Here is a 25,478-nt window from a genome sequence, read left to right on the forward strand (position 1 = left end):
CTAGTTAGAATGGCAATCATTAAAAAGTCAGGAAACAACAGATGCTGGAGAGGATGTGGAGAAATAGGAACACTTTTACACTGTTCGTGGCAGTATAAATTAGTTCAACCATTGTGGAAGACAGTGTGGTGATTCCTCAAGGATCTAGAACCAGAAATACCATTCGACCAAGCGATCCCATTACTGGGTATACACCCAAAGGATTATAAATCATTCTACTATAAAGACACATGCACACGTATGTTTACTGTGGCACTATTCACAATAGCAAAGACTTGGAACCAATCCAAATGCCCATCAATGATAGAATGGATAAAGAAAATGTGGCACATATACACCATGGAATACTGTGCAGCCATGAAAAAGGATGAGTTCATGTCCTTTGCAGGGACATTGTTGAAGCCGTAAACCATCATTCTCAGCAAACTAACACAGGAACAGAAAACCAAACACTGCATGTTCTCACTCATAAGTGGGAGTTGAACAATGAGAACACATGGACACAGGGAGAGGGACATCACACACTGGGGCCTGTCAGGGAGTCAGGGGCAAGGGGAGGGATAGCATTAGGACAAATACCTAATGTAGATGACAGGGTGATGGGTGCAACAAACCACCATGGTACGTGTATCTATGTAACAAACCTGCACGTTGTGCACATGTATCCCAGAACTTAAAGTTTAAAAAAAAAAAAAAAGAGAGAGAATGCTAAGGATGCAGTGAAGTACAACAGGTTTGGAAAGACACTGTGAGAGTCTCAAGGCAAATTCTCCCATATCCCACGTGTCTCTGAAGTCCCTGTGTCCCCAGTCCCCATGCCCACTTCTCTCCACGCCTCCTTCCAGCTCACTTGTACCCTCATGGTGCCCCTCCTACAGATCTACCTGCCACCTTACATTATCACTGCACTGCCTCATATATCCTACTAAATCCTCTCTTCCTCCTGGTGCTCAGTTGGGTCCATCACCTTTCTCTGGGGCCCTACAGCACCCCTGGCTTCTACAGTAGCACTTGCTATACTCACTGTAATCCTTGTTGGCGCATATATCTCTCCAGCTAGACCATCAATATCTGCAGGAATGTAGCCTTTTTCCTGTACCCAGCCCAGATTCTGGTTCACCACATCCTTGTTGCCTGAGTAAATAATGAACTGAATCCTCCCAGGCCCATCCAAGCTTCTGTGACCACTCCAGTGAACAAGCTCACTCTCACACGGACTCTCCCCCGTCTCCCCTGCTTGCTTGCTTTCTCTTTCTCTCTCTCTCTCTGTCTCTGTGTGTGTGTGTGTGTGTGTGTGCGTGCATGCGTGTGTGTGTATCTCTGTTAGCACTGGTCTGGAGTTGTTACTAGCAGCTTTCTTATATAGCTGTAAACTGGTATTTTTCTATTTTTCTATTTGTATCTCCTCCCACCCCAAATGTCTGGGAGCATGCTTGCTAACCAGTAGATTCCTGCAGATGCTTGTAGATGGTTTGGTTGATAGAGACACAGGGTTGTACAGAGAAAATGACAGGAATACAGAAGACCTGGGTTCAAGTTTCAGCTTCACATTTAGAGACTAGATTTGCTGCATAATCCAGAGATCATTCCTTGACAACTATGATTCTAGACCTCTTTATTTGTAACTAGGGGTTTACTATTCTTCCTGGGATGCATGTAGGTTAGATAGAGTAAGGGAACAGTCTTAAACCATTGATGTTCCCTATATCTGCAGGTGAAGATGTATCCTGGTTGGAATGAAGTCCAACCACAGTGATACCGTTCCACAGAGCAATGTAATCACCCACAGATCCCAGAGCAAAGTGGGAGGAAGGGCGAGAAGGGAAGAGGCACAGCTTATCACATCAGCAGTAGTCCAACCAAGGGCCTTACATCAAAACCTGTTCACTCTCAGGTGCAGAATCTTGGTCACGCCAAGGTATTGCTATTGTAAATCAAAAAGTGGCTGAAGCAGATCTCAATTTGAAGGTTATTTTGCCTAGGTTGAGGATGCACCCAGGAAAAAGAAACACAAGTTACAGTAGGATCTGTAACCTGTATTTTTTCCAAAAAGGGTTTTAGGAATTTCAATATTTAAAGGCAAAAGAGCAAGCAGGAGGGAAGGAGAGGGGAAAAAAAAGGGAGGGTAAGGAATGGGGCAAGTGTTTACATCCTTGTAAGGTTTTGATTAGCACTCAGTGAAAAGAAAGGAATGGGGGAAACAGTCAATTATACATTCACCTCAAGCTCAGTAATTCTACATTTTACATAAGATAAAGTAAGCATGTGAAATTACAGCTATCCATTTGGGAATAAAAGGAAGGTAGTTTTTTGTGTGACTCCAAAAAAGTTTCCAACCTTAACTTTTCCTTTGATATAGTGAGTTTGGGATCCCGAGATTTTGTTTTTCTTTCACATTTCCCGTTCTCCGAAATCTTTAGGAGAAAGCATTGTAGAAGAAAATGAGTCTGCGGTCACAGGTTCAGTCATATTCCTCAGATCTAGAATGGTTTAATTTACTCCTAGAAGGTGAGGTCTCATATGGCTAGGAGGGCTTACTCCTAAGAGGACATGAAGTCTCCTGTCCCACACAGCAAAACAGAAGGAGGAAGAAAGAAAGAAAAAAGGGCAGGGAAAAAAGGAGGACAAAAAGGCCAGATTATAACAACAAAGGGAAAGCAATCCTGAAAACATGATTCAGGCTATATTACCAAAAAGGCCAAGAAGTCCATACATCTGTAGGCAGACAGGAAGGTGATATAAATAAATAAATGCACACACACATACATAGGTTACATGTATGTGTATGTGTATACATACAGTGTATGTGTATATGTGTGTGTGTATATATGTATATGTATGTGTGTGTGTTTGTGTGTGTGTGTATACATATAGCTGTTATTTCTCCCAAAGTCTAAGTTGCCTAGCTTTAGTGTGTAGGGCTTTAAGAAAAGCACAGTCATAATTTCTAGTGATTTCAAGTAGTTAGAAAAATGGGAGAAAAAAATAATTTGAAAATGTTAGCTTGGAGACTTGTAGTCAGGAAAGAATGCAAGGTACAGTCCAGATAAATTGTAGGCAAATAATAAAAACTGAAAAACAGACAAGGCTAGAATCTAATAACAGGTTTACTATAGTTTCTTTTGAAACATGATTTTTCTCTCTCCAGTTCCCCATTTTTACCAAAGATAAATTATAGTAGGACCAGTTTATTTGCAAAATAAGTTTTAGTCTTATTATACTTAGCCTGATCATTTGCATCAAGTGCAGCCAGAATAATTATTGATCAATAGGCTCTTTTTGAATTGGCTTTGCTGGAGCTTTTTCATAAGGAATCTCAGATTAGATTTTTAAAGGCCTCTCAAGCCCAGCTGAGAATTTATCTGTATCTGTATGAATTGGGTAAATTCCTCTCTTCTCAAGATCCCAAAATAACTTGAGTTTCCCGGGCCTGTCAGAAAGTGAGGCAGGGAGAATCGCTTGAACCCAGGAAGTGGAGCTTGCAGTGAACTGAGATTGCGCCATTGCACTCCAGCCTGGGTGACAGAGCAAGACTCTGTCTCAAAAAAAAAAAAAAAAGAAAGTGACATTCTTTACTTATCACAGGTCAGGAACCCTGTGAAGGAACTACATAGACAAAATATGAGGCCAGTAGTTCTGAGGGGCTTTTATCAGCTCCATAAAGTCAATTTTAATTCCTCAAAGCAGTCTGTTCGTATCTGAAAATATGCCATTCAAGTCAAAGTCTTGGTAAAATAACCAGTGTCTCCAATTGTGTCCTATTACAAAGAAAAGGCTCTCATTGAACTTATGCAAATAAATATATTGCCAAAAATTAAGAATACTCACAAATAGTTTCCAAATTCTGGAGAAATCAGGTAGAGAAAAAGAACATGATTCAAATTTTGCTCACAAGAGTATACTTTACTCAATTGTTAAAAAGTAAATGACTCAAAAGAAAAAAAAAGCTTTATTGACTCTGAGAAACAAAATGAAAAGAATCAACCATGTTTCAGACAAAGAAAACAGGTCATAAAAATTATTTCAGTCCTCTATTAGTTTAGTCACATGCAATTAACTCATTCCATTTTATATTGAGGTTAGTAAACCTCACGAACACATTAGTTCTTCAGTGAGAGTTCTGTAAACATTTTGTTTTCCTCAAGTTCAATGGCACACTCACCAAGGTTATAAGAAACCCGCATTTAAGAGCACCCAACAGAATCCTTTCTGTGGACTTCCCTAAAGAAGCAAGTCTTGGACAATAGTTGATTATACCACTTTTTGAGAAGGATCAAAGTAAAACAATTGTGGATGATAAAACTCTTAGGATGGCCATGATCAAAGACACAATTGACAAGGAAATTAGGAAATTTCTATGGCATACAATAATTTAGCATAATAATCATAATTATTATTGATGACATACACTAAGACATATCAGAATTATAGAAATCCCATATAATTTCAGAATACATATTAACAATACATTTACATAAATAAAATTCAAAGAAAGTTAAATTAAACACCATATAATATTTGTCAATGCTTCCTGTATGATTTTAACATATCAAGTAAGCCGATATATCTGTTTCGGACTTCAGGGGACCTAATATCTAAAAAGAAGTTAATGAAGTCAAAAAGGCTAAATTTAGAACTTGAAATTTTGATTTTGGAAAATTTGTCAAATATCAAAGGTTTAAAACACTTGATATGCAAAATAGAATCACAGGTCACTGTAAAATAAGTCATTCATTTAGCCAAAATGATAATTCAAAAGATTTTTAAAGCAAAATCTTTTTACTTTTTGGCAGAGAGGAGACTCAGTGTCCTAAACAATAAGATCCAGTAAAGACAGCTGAGTGAATCTGACTCCTCTCCAAGTTTTTTTGCAGCTTACTCAAAAGGTAAACAAAAATCTTTTACTATGTCTTAAAATTACATGAAAATCTTGTTCAAAAGAGAAAACCAGATTTTACCTTTGCATAGTGTATTATTAATGCTAAAGCTATTTTTTAAATGAAATCTTATAAACAAATCCATCAATCTCAGTTTGACTATAAGATTTCTATAAAGCTTTTATAACATTTTATCATCTGTTTCTATTTTCTTTTTTTCAACTTTCTACATCCAATCACTTTTATCCATCATTTCTTTATTCCTTCAATTTAAAAAAATACTTAAAAACCTCTGGTCTAGACAAAATTACTTTCCCTTTAACAAAAATTACATTTTCATGTATTTTTATAATACTTTTACTAAAAGCACATCCTACTTTTCTTCTATATTTTGTGTACAGAATTATTTCTCTTACGTCTAGTGCTTTAAAAATATATATTGATTTCAGTGTTAACTATTAGTAACTCTCATTTTTAGTGAAAAGCCTACAAAGTAAGAAATTTTAATCTTATATCAGTTGTAGGGCCCAGTATAAAGGACACTGCCTGAAGCTAGGTTTCATCATGGCCCCTAAAGTTTCAAATCTCAAGACCCTAAGTTTGTGGACAGCTTAAGGATCTGTGACTTGTGCTTTTTCCAAAGACGGTTTGGGGAACTTCAATATTTGAAGGGGAAAGGGCAGAGAGGAGGGGAAGAGGGAAATAAAAAAGGAGGGAAGGTAGGCAGTGAGGCAAGTGGTTACATTCTCCTGAGGCTTTAATTAGTGCTCAGTGAATCTGCATTTCACGTATGAGAAGAGGGGAGTGGGGGAAAAGTCAATTATGCATTCATCTCACACTCAAGTAAATCTGCATTCCACATAAGATAATGTAAGCATGTGAAATTATAGCTATCTGTCTGGAAACAAAAGGAAGGTAGTTTTTTGTGTAATTGGACTCAGTTCCCAAGCTTAACTTTCCCTTTGGCATAGTGATTTTGGGTTCCAAGATTTTAGGTTTCTTTCACGTCATCACCAAACCTATGACCACATTGGCCCTTCTGTCCAGCAGAATGTTGGCTACATACTTCAGTAGCCAAGACCTAAATTTACTGCACATCTGCTTGAGCCAATAAACCGCAAAAAAGAAGCCTGCCACCAGCCCTCACAGTCCAGTGGGTGTTGGGATCTTCCGTGATTCTGGGCCCACATCATGCATAGTAGGAAGGTGTCAACTGCTTCCAGGAGAGGGGTTTGCTGGCAGAGCTGGCCCAGGGGAAATCACTGGCTGAAAGACAGTTGTAAATTAACCAGCCCTACTCAAATTGCTGAAAGGGGTGACATTCTTTTCTCAGAAGCAAGACTGTCTAAAGGAAGCTCCCCCTACAGTGCCCCTACCAGGACCTTGTAAGGATTCCCAAGAGGATGATACCCTTATTCTACCAGGATAGAACAGGTGAATACACTGGGGACTTTGCAAAACACCCGTTCCCCGCAGCCCCTCTCTGGACATGCCTGGTATTAATTGCTACTGCTGCTTGCTGTCCTTATTATTTTTCTACCTATGCTAACCTTTGTGTGGACCATGGGAGAGAAGCTGACACCAGGGTTTGCAGAGTGGTAGCTGTCTATTTGCTGTGACTTTATTCAATTGTCCAGCAAACACCAATGTCTTAGGCTGTGGCAGCCTCCATGCCTGGAAGGCTCCCTGACTCTTAACTTATCGGGCTGATTTGTGAATTTCACAATTCAAAAACAGCCTTTGTTACTGTGGGGGCTAAGGGAAAATTTTCCCTTCGCCTTCTGAAGGTCCACTGAAAATCACTGACAAGAGGCAGATTAATAGTAGAAAACGAACAGAAATTTATTTGATCAGAGTTTTACATGACATGGGGGCCTTCAGAATGAAGACCCAAAGATGGAGGGGAAATTGTTATTATGCTTAGGTTCAATAAATTATGAACAGTGTAGAAATATGATTGGACAAAAAGGCTATAATCTCATGCTAATAGACTAAGTGGGGGAACCCAGCAAGGCCTGTCTGTCTGGATTCTTCTTAGCCCCTCTGAGCATGCATTCCTTCCTTCTGGGTATGGGCAGAACCCTCTCTGGAGTGAGGGTCTTATGACCTACAGCCAAACAAGCTAGGTCAGATAACTTCTTTGTGCCCGGTTTTTACACAGAAAGGTGGGGAGAGATAGAGTAATATTTTTAGTTTTCCTGTCTGCCTTTGGGGAAAAGGGGTTCTGGTTTCTATGACCCACCTTGGGAAAGAGACTAATTTCCATGGGTAGCCTTTGGGGGAAATGGGACTGAGAGGCAAGAAGACAGGAGGTCATAGAAAAACTTCTGCTTCTGAGGATTTCATTTTTGGATATTATTTTCTGAGCCCCAACATTGCAATGTCAATATTCTATCTCTGGAAGATAAGGAACAGGAGGTCTCTATTAATCACTTACACCCCAGTTAAGTTATCTGCTCTTTTTCAGAGTCAGCTTTTCTTTGGGGGTGAGGAAAGGGAACAAAAAGAAAACTGTTCCTAACTTTTCAAGGAATAATTCAAGTGTGTCCTTGGCAGAGGTTAGCTTTCTCCTGGAATGAAAACAGCACGTTAAATTTTCATAGGTTGTTTTTATTGTCAAAGCACAATTTTTTGTGTTGTCTTCAGAATATTCTTATAAGTTAACCACGGACAGCAATGATCACACCCTTACTCAACAATCTAAAAAACAAAAACTATGAAGGGTCACGTTTAAGAGAATCGGATGTTTTTTACTTTGATTTTTAGCTGAAAAGCATAGGAGAATTTTAAGTTTATAAATAGTTGTGGTACTGTTAAGCAAACTTGATTTACTATAATTACATGTTTAGTGGATACAAGAGTAATTTAAATGCTTAAGAGGGTTTTGCTTATTACTATTGTAAGTTTACCCTGCCAGGCATGTGAATGTTTAAAAAGCAAACACATTAATTTACAAATGTTGATGAAGATGTTTAAGGGAGCTGAATTGTGTCCCTTCTCCAAAAATTCGTATGTTGGAGTCCTAACCCCCAGTACCTTAGAATGTGACTGGATTTGGATATAGGGTCTTTAAAGAGGTAAAATGGGGTTATTAGGGTGGGACATCATCCAATATGACTGGGGTCCTTACAAGAAGAGAAGAGGAGGACACACACATACACAGAAAACCTTGTAAAGACAGAAAGAAGGTGGCCATCTACAAGCCATGGAGAGGGACCTCCAAAGAAACCAGCCCTGCCAACCCATTGCCCTCAGACTTTAAGCCTCCAGAATTACAAGCAAATGTCTGTTGTTCAAGCTATCTAGTCTGCGGTACTCTGTTACAGCAGCCCCAACAAATTGATACAGCCGTAATTAGCTAGACTTGAGATGAGATTATCCTTATAGGGGAGGAAAAATAATTTCCCTCCCCTTTTTCTGAGTTTTTATTGGCATGGACCCTTGTAACAAAAGAGATTAACAAGAGACAAACAGAAGTTTATTAACAGGTCTACTATATATATACAAGAAAGATACCCAGGGAAAAGTGAGTAAATCTCCAAGAAGTTGCTTTTAGTTCAGGTCAAATGTCATCTTCAGAAGAAAGGAAGGAAGGAAGGAAGGAAGGAGGGAGGGAGGGAGGGAGGGAGAGGGGGATGAGAGGGGAAGGAAGGGCGCCAGTTTTGGGGAGGTCAGGAAAAGCACAGTAATAAGAGCAAGGTTTTTCCTGTGGATTTACTCAGTGCCTTCTCCATTGAGAAAAGTCTCTAGTGATTTGGAGGATTTCTTCTCTTCCTGGTACAGAGCAGGTACCTTACAAATGGGGATTTCCTTTAGAAAATACAATTCCCTTACAAAAGGGTAACTTCTACTCTTTGTTTTTAGAGTTACTCTGGTGTCTACAGTTTCTTAGAATAATTAGCTCAAAAATAATCCTCATGCTAAAGAGGCATATTTTGGAGTAGCACATTCTGGCCTCCTACAGTCGTATTTTGGAGTGGCATAGTTTTGGTATTCTACATCCTGGAAGATCTAAGGGGGCCCAGTGAAATCACAAGAGTCCTTATAAATGGAAGAAGGAGGCAAAGGAACAAGAACTAAAAAAATGACAGTGTGAGAAGGAGTTGGCCTGATAATGCTGGCTTTGAATATGGAGGAAGAGGCCACAAGCCAAGGAATGTAGCCTAGAGACACTGGAAAAGGCATGAAAATGAATTCTCTCCTACAGCCTCCAAACGAAACACAGCCCTGCTGACACCTTAATTTTAGTCCCAGGAGCCCAATTTGGGACTTCTCACTTCCAGGATTCTAAGAGAATAAATTTGTGTTGTTTTAAGCCATTAAGTTTGTGGTCATTTGTCACAGCAACAATAGGAAGCTAATACACTTTCGTACAGGTCATTTTTCTAATACAGTTCTCAATGCAGCCCTTTAGGACTTCCCTACTTAAAATTGAACCCCTCCCCACTCCCCTTTCCTGCTTTATTTTTCTCTAACACACAATATAGTTAGACTTATTTATCATGCTTATTGTCTCTATCCTTTGTTTAAAACATAAACACACAGCTGGCAGGGTGGCTAATGCCTGTAATCCCAGCACTTTGGGAGGCCAAGGAGGGCAGATCACTTGAGGTCAGGAGTTTGAGACCAGACTGGCCAACATGGCGAAACCCCATCTCTATTAAAAGTACAAAAATTAGCTGGGCGTGGTGGTGGGCGCCTGTAGTCCCAGCTACTCAGGAGGCTGAGGCAGGAGAATCACTTGAACCCAGGAGGCAGAGTTTGCAGTAAGCTGAGATCGCGCCACTGCACCCCAGCCTGGACGACAGAGGAAGGCTCCATCTCAAAGAAAATAATAATTAAAAAATAAAAATAAAACATACATACACAAGGGCAGAAATCATTGCTTCTTTGGAATAGTCCTACCACACAGTAGGTGCTCCATAAAAATTCAGTGAATTAATAACTTAACTTGAATATAGTATTAAGACTAATCCTTTATCCACATAACAGATTCCCTCCACCAAAAAAATTAGCAATTTTGTGGTTATCTCTTTATATTTTCCTCATATAATTTTAGAATCAAACAGAGCCTGCTCCACCCATAATGAAAGTCAAGGAGGAAAGTACATTGGAAATGAGGAATAATTAAAACAACTGTATTAGGCAGGGCTCTCCAGTGAAATAGAACCAATAGGAGATTAGATAGATAGATAGATGATAGGTAGATAGATAGATAGATAGACAGATAGATAGATAGATAGATAGACAGACAGATAGATAGACAGATAGAGTCATGCATCGCTTAACTACAGCACTGTTTTCTGAGAAATGAGTCATGAAGGCAGCTTTGTCATTGTAGGAATGTAACCAAGTACTCCCATTCGTCTAAGAAAAACAGAATGATTTTTTTCTTTTCTTTTCTCCTTTCTCCTTTTCCCCTGTTCCTCACTTCCTACTTAGACCTCCCCATCACCAGACATTCCCTACAGGGCAAGTTCATCTAACTATATGCTTAGGGGCTCCAGAGTGGAACTCTCTCCCGGCTGAAGATTGCCTCGAGAGCAACACTCAATTTACAAGCCTAAGTATGCCCACTACAAAATTCTCTCCCACCTGGAGAGTTTCAGACACTTTTAAAACCTAGTTCTGCCCATGAAGGCGCCAGCTCAATGGCCCAGTAGATAAGGCACTGAAGCGAATTATGTGGACCTCCATCCAATTGCTTTCTCCCCTGCATGCCATTCATGCCAAGCCCCCTTTTAAAATAATTCCTACTTTCTGCACCTGCTACCCTTAAGACAAGAAGCCTGTACTTCTTCCCCTAAGCTAGCTTTGAAATATAATATATCACTTTTTTTAGAACTAATAAACAAATTTATTAACGTTACAGGATACAAAATCAAGATGCAAAAATCAATGGTGATTTTATACACCAACAACAATCTCATTTATATTAGCAACGAAAAGAAACCACTTAGTAATTAACTTAGCGAAAGAGATGAAAAATTTGTACATTGAAAATTATAAAAGATCGATGGAGGAAATTTAAAAGACACAAATAAATGGGAAGACATCTCATGTTCATAGATTGGAAGAATTTTTTTTAACTTTTAGTTTAATTTCAGGGGTACATGCGCAGGTTTGTTATACAGGTAAATTTGTGTCATGGGAGTTTGTTGTACAGATTATTTTATTACCCCAGTATTAAGCCCAGCATTCACTAGCTATTCTTTCTGATCTTCTCCCTCCTCCCACCCCCACTCTCCAATAAGCCCCAGTGTGTGTTGTTCCCCTCTGTGTGTCCATGTGTTCTCATCATTTAGCTTCCACTTACAAGTGAGAACACATAGTATTTGATTTTTTGTTCCTGCATTAGTTTGCTAAGGATAATGGCCTCTAGCTCTATCCATGTCTCTGGAAAGGGCATGACCTCACTCCTTTTTTATGGCTATATAGTATTCCATGGTGTATATGTACCACATTTCTTTATTCAGTCTACCACTGATAGGCATTTAGGCTGATTCCATGTCTTTGCTATTGTGAATAGTGCTGCAATGAACATACATGTGCATGTGTCTTTATAATAGAATATAAAGCAGTTCCTTTATATCAGACCTCACTCTTGTTAATTGGACTCTGCAAGCAGTGAATGACTGGATCTGCATTTCAGTTACAGGAACAACATAAAGTGTACTTACACAAATTTACACGATACAGTCAAATATACAACTAGGCTATATGATAGAGCCTATCGGTCCTAGGCTAAAAACCCTGTACTGCATGTTACTGTACTGAATACTGACAGCAGTTGTAACACAGTGGTAAGTATTTGTGTATCTAAACATATCTAAACATAGAAAAGCTAAAGTAGTATAATCTTATGGGACCACCATTGTATATGTGATCTATCATTGACCTAAATGTCATTATGCAGAGCATGACAGTATACATATATAAAATAAGGAATTGGTTCACAAGATTATGGGGGCTGAGAAGTCCCGAGATCTGTGGTCAGGCAGCTGGAGACTGAGGAGAGTCAAAGTATAGTTCCAGTTTGAGTCTGAAGGCCTGAGAATCGAGAGAGTAGATGGTGAAAGTTCTAGTCCAAAAACCAGCAGGCTTGAGACCCAAAAACAGCCAATGTTTTAGTCTGAGCCAAAAGGCAGAAAAGACCAGTGTCCCAGCTCAAGCAGTCAGGCAGAAGGAACTTCCTCCTACTTGGCCTTTTTTTTCTATTCAGGTCTTCAACTGATTGGATGAGGCCCAGCCCCATTAGAGAGAGCAATCTGTTTTACTCAGTCTGTCTATCAATTTAAATGTTAGTCCCATCAAAAAACATCCTCTCAGATACACCAGAATAACGTTTAGCCAAAAGTCTAGACACCCAAGGCCCCGTCAGGTTGACACATAAAATTAACCATCACAACCACCAATTTGCATCAATAACATTGGACAAAATGGTTTAGGACATCTAACAAGTGAAATAGAGGAGTTGCTCTGCCCCGACCAAGCCTGAGCCTTGGCTCCACTCCAGCTGGTTCCTGTGCTTGGAGAATAGGAAATCTTTGGAAATATTAGTCAGTTCCCTAGAATATTTAGAAATCCTTGTCCTATAATCAGCCATTTCTCCATAAATACTCCATCAGTTCTCACCTGGATTCCAGACTATATCCACACAGACCATGTATGGGTGAATTCAATAATTCTTTACAAAATAAGTGTCTGATGACTGGGTGCCGTGGCTCATGCCTGTAATCCCAGCACTTTGGGAGGCCAAGGCGGGCAGATCACTTGAGGTCAGGAGTTTGAGACCAGCCTGGCTAACATGGTGAAACTCTGTCTCTACTAAAAATACAAAAATTAGCTGGGGGGCGGCAGGGGGCGGTGGTGTGTCCCCGTAGTCCCAGCTACTCAGGAGGCAGAGGCAGGAGAATCGCTTGAACCTGGAAAGTGTAGGGCGCAGTGAGCCAAGATGGGGCCACTGCACCCCAGCCTGGGTGACAAAGTGAGACTCTGTCTCAAAAGAAAAAAAAAAAGTGTCTGATTGTGATTACTTATTTCATTGTTAAGACAAATGTTCTGGGCTGATCCATCTTTGGCCCAGACTTTCTAGGAACATCAGCTTTTTACTTGTAGCAAAACTATTTACCTGTTTTTGTAGACTAAATTATTCCCTTAACATAGGTAACACAGGCCTGGTCTTGACCCTAGGGAATTTGAACATTTTCCTGAATTATTTCTATGTTCTTATTGATATAATCATGGTAACACTTCCTTCTTTTCTTTCTCCTTCAGGAATTTATTGAGCACTTATTATGGGCTAGTCTTAGTGATTAAAAACACAGTATTTCTGCCCCCAAGCAGCTCAGTCAAATGAAAGGAAGAGATGTAAATAAACAATAATAAAATGTTGTAAGTGCTGTCACAGAGATACACAGGTTCAGAATAGTGTACCCTTAGTGAGACATGGGCTCAGGAGCTGAACTACTCAGATTCAAATGCGGCTTCCATAACCATCTAGACACACAACCTCACATATGTTTAGGCAGCTTGTCTCATTTCCTCAACTGTAATGGAAATAAGGAAAGTGCAGACTTCATAAGGCTCTTGTGAGAATCAATGAGACGATGCTTGCAAGGTGTCTGGAGAGCTCTCAGCCTATGGAGAGAGCTCAGTAAGTATTCAGGGATCTCCGTTATTATGCAATGGAAGCACAAAGAAGGAAATAACTAAAAGCGGCTAACTCCTACCCAGAGGGGTCTGGGAAGGCTTCTCAAGGAGGTGACAAAAGTTGAATCCTCTTCTGGGAAGGAGGGAGGGGAGAGGCAGTCCAGGGGGAAGGAGTGGATAGCCAAAAATCCTGAGGGTGATGGGGAACCCAGGGAAGTTGGTGAGCAAGAAAATGACACAAACTGATGTGTGTTTTAGAAGAATTTCTTGAGTAGCCATGTAGAAAACAGATTGGAACAGAAGGAATCTGAAGGCAGAGAGAGGAGAGGAGCTATGATGCTGTCACAATTATACAAGGGAGAAGTGAGAGAGGCCTGGATGAAGGCAGGGGGAAGGAGAGTAAGCAATGGCTTCAGAGACAGAATCAGTAAAATTGATGACACCTGGTGAAGGCAAGGGGCCAACCAAAGCAGAAAGAAAACGTTTGTTCTTAGAACCTGCAGGGCTTCTTTCCCAAGGCTGGCTGGGATCTCACTGAACAGCCATCAGCCCCTTAGCTGGTAAAGCTGTAAGATTATACCCTAAGTGGAGGGACCTCTGGAGTTGATGGTCAGATTCACAAGGTCTCTGAAATACAGTCTTGGAGCAAGAGGGAAAACAAAGCCTGCCCCAGACTCAGGGGAAGCTGAAGGAAGGGTCTGGGAAAACAAAGACAGCATCTGCATTGTCCAAGACCTGAGGCCCCTGGGTCTTTCTCTGGACACTTGGTCATGGTTGGTGAGCATTTGTCAGACGTGAATGAAACTCAGTGCCGGGCCCAAAGGAAGAGAGCAACTAGCAAATCGTAAGAAAAAAAGACATCCTCCATCCCTACTCCTTGGCACTTGCTCTTAATTCCTCAGCAAATTGGATGGCAGGCCAAATAGTCAGGGTATTTGGAGCCAGGGGCTTTATTTACCATTGTTTCTTCCTAGCCCATCTCATTCCCCTCCCTCTAAGACTCCAGGAGAACTTCCCTAGTAGCTTACAAAGATCCATCACTCAATCGCAACATGCACAACAGGCCTGGTTGGGGGTTTTTTGTTTTTGCCTTGTAAGTCTGTGTAACAACAAAACATAAACTATTAAACATTAAACCTTTAGATCTATATGTCCCTGTTGTTGTTGTCACGGATGCTGCTGTTTGTAAGTGCCAAATATACAAATCTCCAAACAGCTGAACACTGTGCCTCCAAGTATAACTACTCTTCAGAATTTAAATGAGGTTTCCATCTAGAATTTTCTTTTGTTCTTGAGATGCCAAGTCTGAGAGTTCTGAAACCAAGTGAAATAAAGGTATTGAGTTTTCTGCAAAGACTGTGGCTGTCCAGCCACTGTACAGAATCTGGATGTGGCCGAAGTGGCTGCTCCCATCTGCCTCAGCTGGCCTCCACCACCCAGGAAACAGGAGACCCTGGCTGCCCTGGGGAATCAACTGCTCCAATATTTCCTGAGGCAAAACTTAGCAACTGATTTTTACTCAAATGTACCCTGATCAGGCCCTGCCTTCTGGATTAGCTCCTGAGTCTCCTCCTTCCTATGAATAGTTTTTAAGACAAACAAAAAACCCTAGAGATGTACACAGTTCAAAGGGCAGACAGGAACATCTGATTTCCCCGTCCCAAGCTGAGGTCTGGTGTCCAGTTAGTCCACCTCATCACTGTTTCTCCCTGCTATTTGGTGTTACTATTGAACATGGTCCTCAGAACTTGGAGAGGAGCATGCACTCCCACAGAGCTAAGACCAGCCAGTGAGGCTGCTTAGGCTTCCAGGTCACAGCTCCCAATGCTCAGCGATTCCAGCCCCATGCCACACCTATGTGCCAAGGAGCTAGTTACCCTATCCCTCTGTGTCAGAGACTCTCAACTGCTCTCCTCACCTTCCCTTTCTGCCTTTCCATCCTCAAAGAATCACACTTCTTTTCAATCCCTGAAACTCAAAGGGTTTCATCACAAAGGGCCTCATCACAAAATGCCTCTTTCTTCGAACAATGGAACCATCAGCCAAACTCTTACAGATGGGTTCTAACAATAGCCTCTAGGGGTCTGTCTTACTCAGCTCAGGCTGTGATACAGTTTGGATGTTTGTCCCCTCCAAATCTCATGCTGAAATGTGATCCCCCATGTTGGAGGTGGGGCCTGGTGGGAGGTGTTTGGGTCACGGGGGTGGATCCCTCACGAATGGCTTGGTACCCTCCCAGTGGTAATGAGTTCATGTGCGATCTGATTGTTAAAAAAGAGACTAGATCTCCCTCTCTCGTTTCCTTTCTCACCCTGTGACACACCTGCTCCCCCTCTACTTTCTGCCATGAGTAAAATTTTCCTGAGGCCTCACCAAAAGCTGAGCAGATGCTGCCATTCTTGTACAGCCTGCAGAACCATGAGCCAAATAAGCCTCTTTTCTTTATAAATTGCCCAGTCTCAGGTATTCCTTTATAGCAATGCAAAACAAACTAACACAGGCTGCTATAATAAAATATCATAGACCAGGTGGTTTACACAACAGATATTTATTTCTCATAGTTCCAGAGGCTGGGAAGTCTGAGACCAAGGTTCCAGTAGATTCAATTACTGGTGAGGGCTCTCTTCCTGGCTTGCAGATGGCCACCTTCTCACTGTATCCTCATATGATAGAAAGAGAACTCTGGTCTCTCTTTCTCTTCTTATAAGGGCATTAATCTCATCATGGGGCCTCAACCCTCATGATCTCATCTACATCTAGTCACATCCAAAGGTCCCATCTCCTAACACGATCAATTAGTGTTAGGACTTCGACATATGAATTTAGGGAGACACAAACATTCAGTCCATAACCAAGTCTGAAACCTAATTGTCTCTTTCCCCTTGAGGAAGGAGCTTCTTTGCAGTGAAAAGGAGACTGCATTTCCTCCAAAGCTGACATGTAACTTGCAGAAACTTCCCTCTGTAGAACAAATAAACGGGAACGCACATATATCACAAGTTAAATCTTCAGCCAGGTGAATTGCTACACGTGGTGGTAAGCTATGGAGTGATAAGGCCCATGGACCTTGCTTTGCCCATTTTCTACACAGATGATTCTCTTCATACAATGTGGAGCGTATGTTGCAAAGACTTCCAAGAGAAGGAGAAGGCATGCAAATTCTACTCATGTTTTCATAGAAGTGGAATCTCAGTGTTGAAAGGGATTTTGATATCACGATCTAACCCCTACTCAAGGTTTTAATCCCCTCTTGATCTCTGCCAGTGATTATTCAGCTTATTTTTAAATGCCCAGTGACAGAAAACTCACCCACTTCTTTCTAAGTTCTCACTTGCTTATTTGCTTACTCACGTCTGAAAACACACACATATACACACACATGCATTTTTGGAAAACTGGTAAGTACAGTGTAAGAGAAAGCTTTGTGTTGAATGGATCTAAAATCCCAGCTCTGCCACTTTCTGTCCAGATTTTAAGGAAATGTTCTAACATTTTTTAGCTCTAATGTCATCGCCTGATAAAAAGAGAAAGAAGAATACATACTTCCTGGATTGTTTTGTGAATGTATTAGATAATGAAGTGCCCAGCATAGGTGTTAGTTTCTCTCCCATTCCTTCATCGCCCTTCCCTTTTAGCTTTTTGTTCATTTCCTGCAATGTGGATATCTTGACTGATGATTTAGGTTAATGTCAAAATACTTTAGCCAATAGGCTATTGATGAAAACGTCACAAACAGCCATAAAAAAAGTTATTATGTTGACAAGGGAGACCCTTGCTTGGCAATTAGACTCATAAATCCAAGACAATAATTAACGTCCTCACTTGATTTCGAATTCTTCAAGGACATGGATCTTGTCTTATATCCACCATAGAATCTACCATAGGTCTTTGTGCATAGTAGAAACTCAATAAATGCTTCAAAATTGAATTACGCTTCCTGCTACAAATTTAATTTCAGGAATGTATATAGATCATGGCAAAAATACAAACAGTATTTGGATGTCTGTTATTTTTGGGTTATCAGTTCCTACATGAGGGTATAGAGGTTTGTTTCTGCATTCAAGCTAACAAAAAGAAAGTTTACGGTCTCCAAGACTGCTATAACCTTGAGGGCTATTGCATTAGCAACTAGTCAGTAAGTACGAATCAAACCTCTCCAAATGTGTGATTGGATTACATTTCTCCCTTTAGGAGACTAGAGCATTTGAAATTTTTTCTTTTTTTTCAGTAGAGACGAGGTTTCACTATGTTGGCCAAGCTGGTCTCAAACTCCTGACCTCAAGTGATCTGCCCACCTTGGCCCTCCAAAGTGCTGATGTGAGCTACCATGCCTAGCCAGAGACTAGACTATTTGAAAAGTAAATTCTCAGTTACCCTATAACCCTAATGCCTGGCACAGTGACGGGCAGACTTGCAACATTTCATGGGTGGATGCACTGAAAGATTGACCTATGGGTTCCAGAGTTTCCACTTCATTTGAGTGTTATTTGCTAAAAAATACAATGAAAGTAGAATTTACGACTGAACTTAAAGATCTAGTGTATGCATTACTTACTTTAATGTAATTTAAATATTCACATTATCACTTAAATTTTAATATTGCATTCTGTTTCACTGGATTATTATATAAGGTAATATCAAAACATAAACGGCTCCAAAATTATCAAGATAAGTCAGTCCCTGTGAATGAACTTGGTACAAATCGACATAGAATCATGAGCTTAACCTTGTAGAAATAACTCTTCCCAAGAGCTAGTTTGTAAACGAGTTGCTGTTACAAACTTAGGAATCAGCTAAATCAAATCAAGATTATTAAAATGTGACTTTAGAGAGTTATTAGAAAGAAAAAAATGTTAGTAGAAAGAGATGGCCAGCAAGCAGCAAACAGCCTTCTTCGGTACACTGTAATTATCTTAATATCTGTGCAACCCCCAGTCGCATCCCCATTAAACTACAAGCTCTAAGAGAGCAGGGACATTTCTTTTTTCTCTTTGGCACCCCCAGATCCTAGCATACCACCTGACATACCATGCTTGTTGGGGTTTCTGGAAGAGCCTAGATGTTCTCCTCTTATCCCTTCCAGATTCTAAACCAGTTGAGAATCAAAACATCAGCTTTCTTAATAATAGAGTGGAAGCAAAAACAGTTTTTACTATTTCTTGCCTCAATGAGATCTTGAAGTAGGGAGAGTTTGGTCTCTAGGACAGATCCCACTCAGCTAGCTTGCTTTGCATGGAGAGGATGGTAAAGCTGGGAGTATAGAACAAATATTGTCACCTGCAGGGAATCAAGGCCTCTTGCTGTCAAGAATTGTGAAGGGTCTGAGACTGTAGCCTACTTGCAAGCTAACAAGGAGCTTGTAACTGTTTTTTGGATGCTGGCAAAATACATAAGACTCCTGAGTCAGAGACACATGAGTGTATTACTCACAGCAAATGCCGTAGCCAAACTATTAGTTTGATGGTCACACCAATTTCCCATTTTCTCTCACTAGGTCCCATAGGGAAAATATACGTGGTCCTAGATGAACCCTGAACATGCAGAGAGTTGTGTTACAAGAAAGTCTCTACTTGGGTGGTTCACTGCTTTTATAGCAGGTGGAGGCAAAGCCTGCTCTGTGTCCAGAGAGAGATGTTACCTTCTCTCTGAAGGTTGCTGCTGAAAATGCAGACTTGGGAAAGAGTACTCACAGTCTTACATTCGTGGCATACACAGAAGAACATGTAGAGATGCTCAGGGCCCATAGTAGATTGCCCCTTCTAACACCAATCAGATCAGGACCCCCTTCCCATGGGAGAGGAAGGAGAGGTTGAAGAGAATGGGGAGGAGTTACTCCAACACCTCTCTCCTGGAAAATAGAGCAGCAGTCCCCTTAAAGGGGAACTTCCCAGATATTTGCTCACTTAACCCTTGGGGTTTAACAAGCAGGTCAACTGGGCTATGGATGCTTCTCTTTGGGAAGAGAACAGAAGTTTATGAGGGTAATCCTGCTGCCACATTTACTAGGATATGTCCAGATCCACTATTGTGCCTCGTATGGTCCTCTAGGGACGAGTTGTGGGCAGTCCTAATTTTGCCCACTGTGATGGCTAGTTTTACGTGCCAACTTGGCTAGGCTATCATGTCCAGCTATTTGATGAAACACTAATGTGAGTGTTGATGTGAAGGGATTTTGTAGATATGGTTAACATCTACGATCAGTTGACTTTAAGTAAAGGAGATTACCCTCGATAATACAGTTGGGTACATAGTTGGGAGATTACCCTCATCCAATCGGTTGAAAGGTCTTAAGAGTAAAACACGTTACCCTGAGGAAGAAAAAATTCTCCCTCAAGACTACAACATTCACTGCTGCCTGAGACTTTCCAGCCAGCCAGCCTACCTTACAAGTTTCAGACTTACCAACCTCCACAACTCCATGAGCGAATTCCTTGAAATACAACCTACTGCTCTGTTTCTCTACAGAACCCAGACAGATAAACCCATGTATCAGAAATAGGCCAGAACAAGATATTAAATAAATCAGCCGACAGCTCTACTGCGTTCTTGCTCACCACACAGCCTTGTAATGGCTTACTCAGGGTCTCAAGCCTCCGGATACCTGAGAAAAAACAGACATCAATAGTCCAGCCACTGGGAGATAACAAATTGTCATCTTTGCTGTGCAATTCATATTTTCTGAACCAAAATACGAGAGCACACGGTCAAACGGATACGAATGTACTTTTGGGGAAAACAGAGGGAATATTTGAAACCTGTTTGTTCCAAAAAGTCTGGGACATAGAGTCATTTTGTTTATATAGCATATGGGCTTGCTTCACCCTATTTCTCCCCACCAGCCAGATACTCTAAATATACCTCACAATGTTCAATTTCTGGACACTGTAAGACCAAGGATCTCCCAATTACTCAACAAATCTCCACTGAGTACCTCAGAAAGCCCAGGCACCATCTCGGCATTTTGGATTAAAGGAAGAAGACGCCACTACTGCTCACTGAAGGTGCACAGCTTGATGGTGGGGGGCAGAGGGCAAGTGGAAGGACAGTCACAGAACAGGAATACCCGTGTCCCAGTAAAGCCCAGTCCCTGGTACCCACACAAGTTTCTACCACCCCACCTCGGAGGCCACATGATAGGGGCCTTCCTTCTGTGCCATTTCATCCCTTCCTAAACTCAACAAAGGCTCTCTGTACTGTTCAGAGTAACTAAACTCATTTCTCTACAGGATCACCTCAGCTGCCCACATCCATGACTTTCAGTCCACCCAAAGAGAAATCACAGGGACAAGGTTCACCCCAGTGGCAGCGTCCTTGGTCAGCCTGGCCCTTTGGCCTGCTCAGACAGGCCTCAGAGGCACCAGAGCTTGTCCTAGGCCCTAGGTTCAGGGCTCCCTTCCTTATATGCTGCTGTTTTGGGTTTTTTTGTTTGTGCGTTTGGGTTTTTTTTTGAGACGGATTCTCACTCTGTCACCCAGGCTGGAGTGCAGTGGCGCTATCTCGGCTCACGACAATCTCCGCCTCCTAGGTTCAAGTGATTCTCCTGCCTCAGCCTCCCAAGTAGCTGGGACTGCAGGCACCCGCCACCACGCCCTGCTAATTTTTTGTATTTTCAGTAGAGACGGGGTTTCACCATGTTAGCCAGGATGGTCTCGATCTCCTGACCTTGTGACCCGCCCGCCTCGGCCTCCCAAAGTGCTGGACATGCTTCTTCTGAGAAAGACTGGAGCTGACAAACATGAACTGCTGCATTCCTCTGTCCTGGATTTGCCTCCCACACTGCACTATTAGCTCTGGAATGCAGGAAGCTGCTTTCCCAGACCCTGATCCAGCTGAAGTGTTCAGTGCCCTTGTGTTGAGGGAAGGAGGAAAGAAGGCAGAGAAAGAGTGAAAGAGGCTTTACAATGAGAAACCCCAGTGGCAAAGTCAAGAGAGCATGAAGAAGAATCCTGGGATTGAATACTGTCAGCTCTTAACTTTTAGTGTGACTTTGGGCAAGTGACTAAAATTTCTGATCATCAGTTTCCTCATCTGTAACAATGGGCTCATAATAGTTCCACTTCCTAGGGATAAAGTGAGACGATGTCTGTACAGCACTCAGTGGAGTATCTAGCAAACAATAACACTCTGTGTATGTTAATTTTTTAATTATAATCATTGTATCATCACTCTTGACCTGCAATTCCTTGCTCACAAAATGAGGAGTTCAACCAGGTAACTCCCAACTCCCTTCCAGTCCAACAGCTCTGTAACTTGCTAAGGCAGAAATAAACTCTTTTAACTTACATCAGCCCCACTTCACAAATGACAATGGACACTAGGAGAGTGGAGGTGCTGGAGCCCAAGTTTGAGTTCTGCCAGATCCAGCAACCAGTTTTGGATGATTGCTAAATCCAGTTGAAAGGCTTCCATCCCTAAATTGACTTGTGTCTTGCATCTTGTCGCAACACTAAGCTAATATTAAATCTTTCATTCAGCACACATTGAATTGCTACTGATTGTCACATTGTGTCTCAGATTAGCTTTATTGCATTATATATTCAGCCACGTACAGCTCGCTGAAACCAGCATCCAGAGTCACCTCTCAGCTCTCTGCAGGCTTTAGAATGTTTTTGGGATTGTGAATTTCTTATAGAATGGGACAAAATTTTCATTGAACAACTGGCAACTTTCATTGGACAACTGACACTTCACAACTAAGGAAAAGAACCTCAAAAGCACTGTCTGCCAGGAATATAAATCACCACTGATCAATTTCAATGACTTCCAGTGCATGAATCATTTTAGTAATAAAACTGTTTGGGAAAAGACTGAAGGATTGTGTCTCTTAATCTTACACACCCAGAATCTGCTATTAAATATGTCCAGGGCAACACTGGGTTATGGATTCACTTGAAGAACCGTTTAATTCCTCAAAACGATCAGGACTCAAGTTGAATTTATAAACGGAATTAAACAGAAGATTTGTTGCTCACTAGAGTAAGTCAGTAGAGCTGAGATATATGGGTGATTTTTCTCCCATTAACGTATCTCTCAATACTCAAAAAGTAATAACTTCTGAAGAATTGCACTTATCCAGGACAAACCGGATAGAGTAACTACAATTCTTCTTCCTTCAATATTCCACATGCTTCTCCTTCCCCAATGAAAGCAATCTTCTTTTTCTAATAGAGTTTGCTTCCATTTCTGTCTACCCCTCCCTCAAAAAAGAAAATTACAAGATTAGCTAAAAATTAGATTGCAGTATATTTCACAAGTTAGTACTTAACTGACCACGTATTGATTCATGACGGTTAATATTGACTCCTAAGTACACTACGAGACCCTTAGCAGTAGAAACACCATCCGGAGTTTTCCCTGTGTTCTCCCACATATCCAGAACAGTGTTTCTCAATCAGGGCAACTTTGCCCTCGGGGGGACATTTGGCAATGTCCAGACACATTTTGATGGTCACGACTGGGTCATGGTAGATGTTACTGGAATCAAGTGGGAAGAGGTCAGGATGCTGTTAAATGTCTTACAATGCTTGGGACAGCCCCCACAACATAGGATTATCCTACCCAAATTGTCAATAGTGCTGAGGTGGAGAAATTCTGATCTGGAATCATTCTGGGCCCATAAAAAATGCTCAAAATGTTTGTTGATGGAATACAACTGGCTCGTGTTCACAGGAAGACAAATGACAGCTCAAAGGGGTGTGGGGTAGTTAGGGGGTTCATGGAGGAGATGGGCTTAGTAGACACTTGTAAGTATGGGTAGAACTCGGATGGGCAGGGAGGAGGAGAACAGGAGACATTTCAGAAAGGGAAAAGCTACAGAAGTATGGCACTCACGAGAGGTCCGAGAAGACTGATCTCACTGGCAAAACCTAAAGAAATGCTTCAGACCAAGGAGATCTTAGTAGAACAGAACTCAGTATCAAATTTGACTGAATAATGTAGTTTGGTTTCAAAAACAACTGACTATATGTTTTGGGGAAGGGGAGTAGGAAAAAATTGTATTTAGCACCATTTATATTTATATAAATAGCACCACTGATTTATATTAGCACCATTTTACAGATAAAGGAAATGAGACATGGAGACGTTAACCATAAACTTGGGGATATTTTTGCTTAATACTTTGGTAAATCTGCTTACTTATTATACCTTTTGACATGGGCTGGGTGTTATTATAGACAATACCGCCAGTGCATGGTAGCCCATGGTGTTTACAGCATGGGCTCTGGTTGAGAAACACTGTTCTGGGTGTGTGGGAGAACTCAGGGAAAGCTTCTGATGGTGTTTCTGTCACTAAGCATCTCACAGTCTACTATAGGCTCACACTGACTCCACCACTTATTAGTTCATGACCTTGGGCAAGGGGCTGGACTTGTGAATATTAAATTGGCTTGTAAGGGTAAAGCAGACAGGACAGGACGAGGCACACAGAATATGCTCAGTCATGTTGGCTGTTTTTATTATCGTCATCCTTTTTAATGAAGGTTCCTTAGCCCTAGCCTACAGGTTTCTGCTGAATTCACCACCTGAATAAGCAGCATCAACTCATCTGGGGGTGGCAAAATGAAAGGGGAATTAGCATACGGCCCAGGGGAAAACTTTCCCTTTGCCCTCTAAAGGATTTCCTGAAAAATCCACTCACAAAAGGCAGATTTATTGAAAGGCATATAAAATTTATTTGATTACAGTTTTACAATGACATGGGAGCCTTCCCAGTGAAGACCCAAAGATACAGGGGAAATTGTCTGTTTTTATGCTTAGGTTCAACAAAGGACGGACAGTGTGTAGAAATACGATGGGATAAAAAAGCTATGATCTAATGCTAAAGACTGCTTGGGGAAACCTAGCAAGGCCTGTCTGGATTCTTAGCCTCTCTGAGCACGCATTCCTTCCTTCTGGGTTTGGGGCAGGGCCTTCTCTGGAATTGCGGTCTTATGACCTACAGTCAAACAAGGTAGATCAGATAATTTCTTTGTGGCCAGTTTTTATGCAGAAAGGTGGGGAGAGGGGAAGCGGGGAGTTAGAGTAGTATTTTTAGGTCACAGGGCTGCCTTTGGGGAAAGGGGGTTCTGGTTTCTAGGACCTGCCTTGGGGAAGAAGCTAGTTTCTATATCTAGCCTTGGTGGAGAAGGAGACTAAGAGACAGGAGAGCAGAAGATCAAAAAAAAACTTTTGCTTCTGAGCTCTTCATTGTGGGGTATCACCAACATTAGCAAGCCCCTTTCAGGACTTTCCCAACTCTTTTCAATAGCCTGTTTTCACAGATCTCTCAAAACTCAAGGATTTCAATGTCACTATTCAAGCTGAAAACATTTTCCCCTGCAACCTCCTTGTTAAATCTGTAGTTTGGACAAGGAAGCAATAAAGCAAGCATGTGCAGGCTGCTGCTTTGAGTAGCCAGCTGAGAAATGATTCCCACTAGGGTGGGTGTGGGTGTGTGTGAGTGTGTGTGTGTGTGTGTGTGTGTGCGTTGTAGGGAGAGAAAAAATGCAATGTACACAGCAGGATGACCCACAGATTCTGAGAACACAGTGTCAGTCTGCAGAAGGCAGGCACTTTTACACTTCTGAGCAATCAGCACCTTTATGTGCAATTTATTTCCAGTTTTAAAAAAAATGAGGTGGGTGGTTCCTCCGTCAAAGTTACCTCCCTGACTTTTAACGGCTCATTAAACGGGAAAGGATTGAGAGGATCCTTAATGGTGAATGGGGCTGGAGGCTCGGCCACTGAAAAGGACTGGGTAGACTGAACCTAGAAAGGAGAAGCTAATAGGGCCCAGAGTGGCTGCCTTCAAATATCTGCAGGGCTGACAGTGTGGACAGGAATTAAATATGCTATGTGTAGGAGCAAGTTGCAGAGAGCAGGTTTCAGTGCAACATACCAAATGTTTTTCTGCTACTTAGAATAGTCTAAAAATATAATCCCCTGTCAAGGAGTAGTGAGTTTCCCATC

At 41.4% G+C, this 25,478-nt stretch overlaps 2 annotated features.

The window, feature by feature from the left end:
- Positions 954-1,133: an enhancer, noted in NCBI's record as "active region_9469". NCBI's record gives its function as "activates an Ori minimal core promoter by ATAC-STARR-seq in GM12878 lymphoblastoid cells {active_cell/tissue: GM12878}" and the evidence as "EXISTENCE:reporter gene assay evidence [ECO:0000049][PMID:35858748]".
- Positions 3,550-3,750: a silencer, noted in NCBI's record as "peak2354 fragment used in MPRA reporter construct". NCBI's record gives its function as "represses an SCP1 promoter by STARR-seq MPRAs in K562 erythroleukemia cells {active_cell/tissue: K562}" and the evidence as "EXISTENCE:reporter gene assay evidence [ECO:0000049][PMID:32103011]".

The sequence above is a fragment of the Homo sapiens genome, chromosome 15 (assembly GCF_000001405.40).
Source record: "Homo sapiens chromosome 15, GRCh38.p14 Primary Assembly".
NCBI classification, from domain to species: domain Eukaryota; kingdom Metazoa; phylum Chordata; class Mammalia; order Primates; family Hominidae; genus Homo; species Homo sapiens.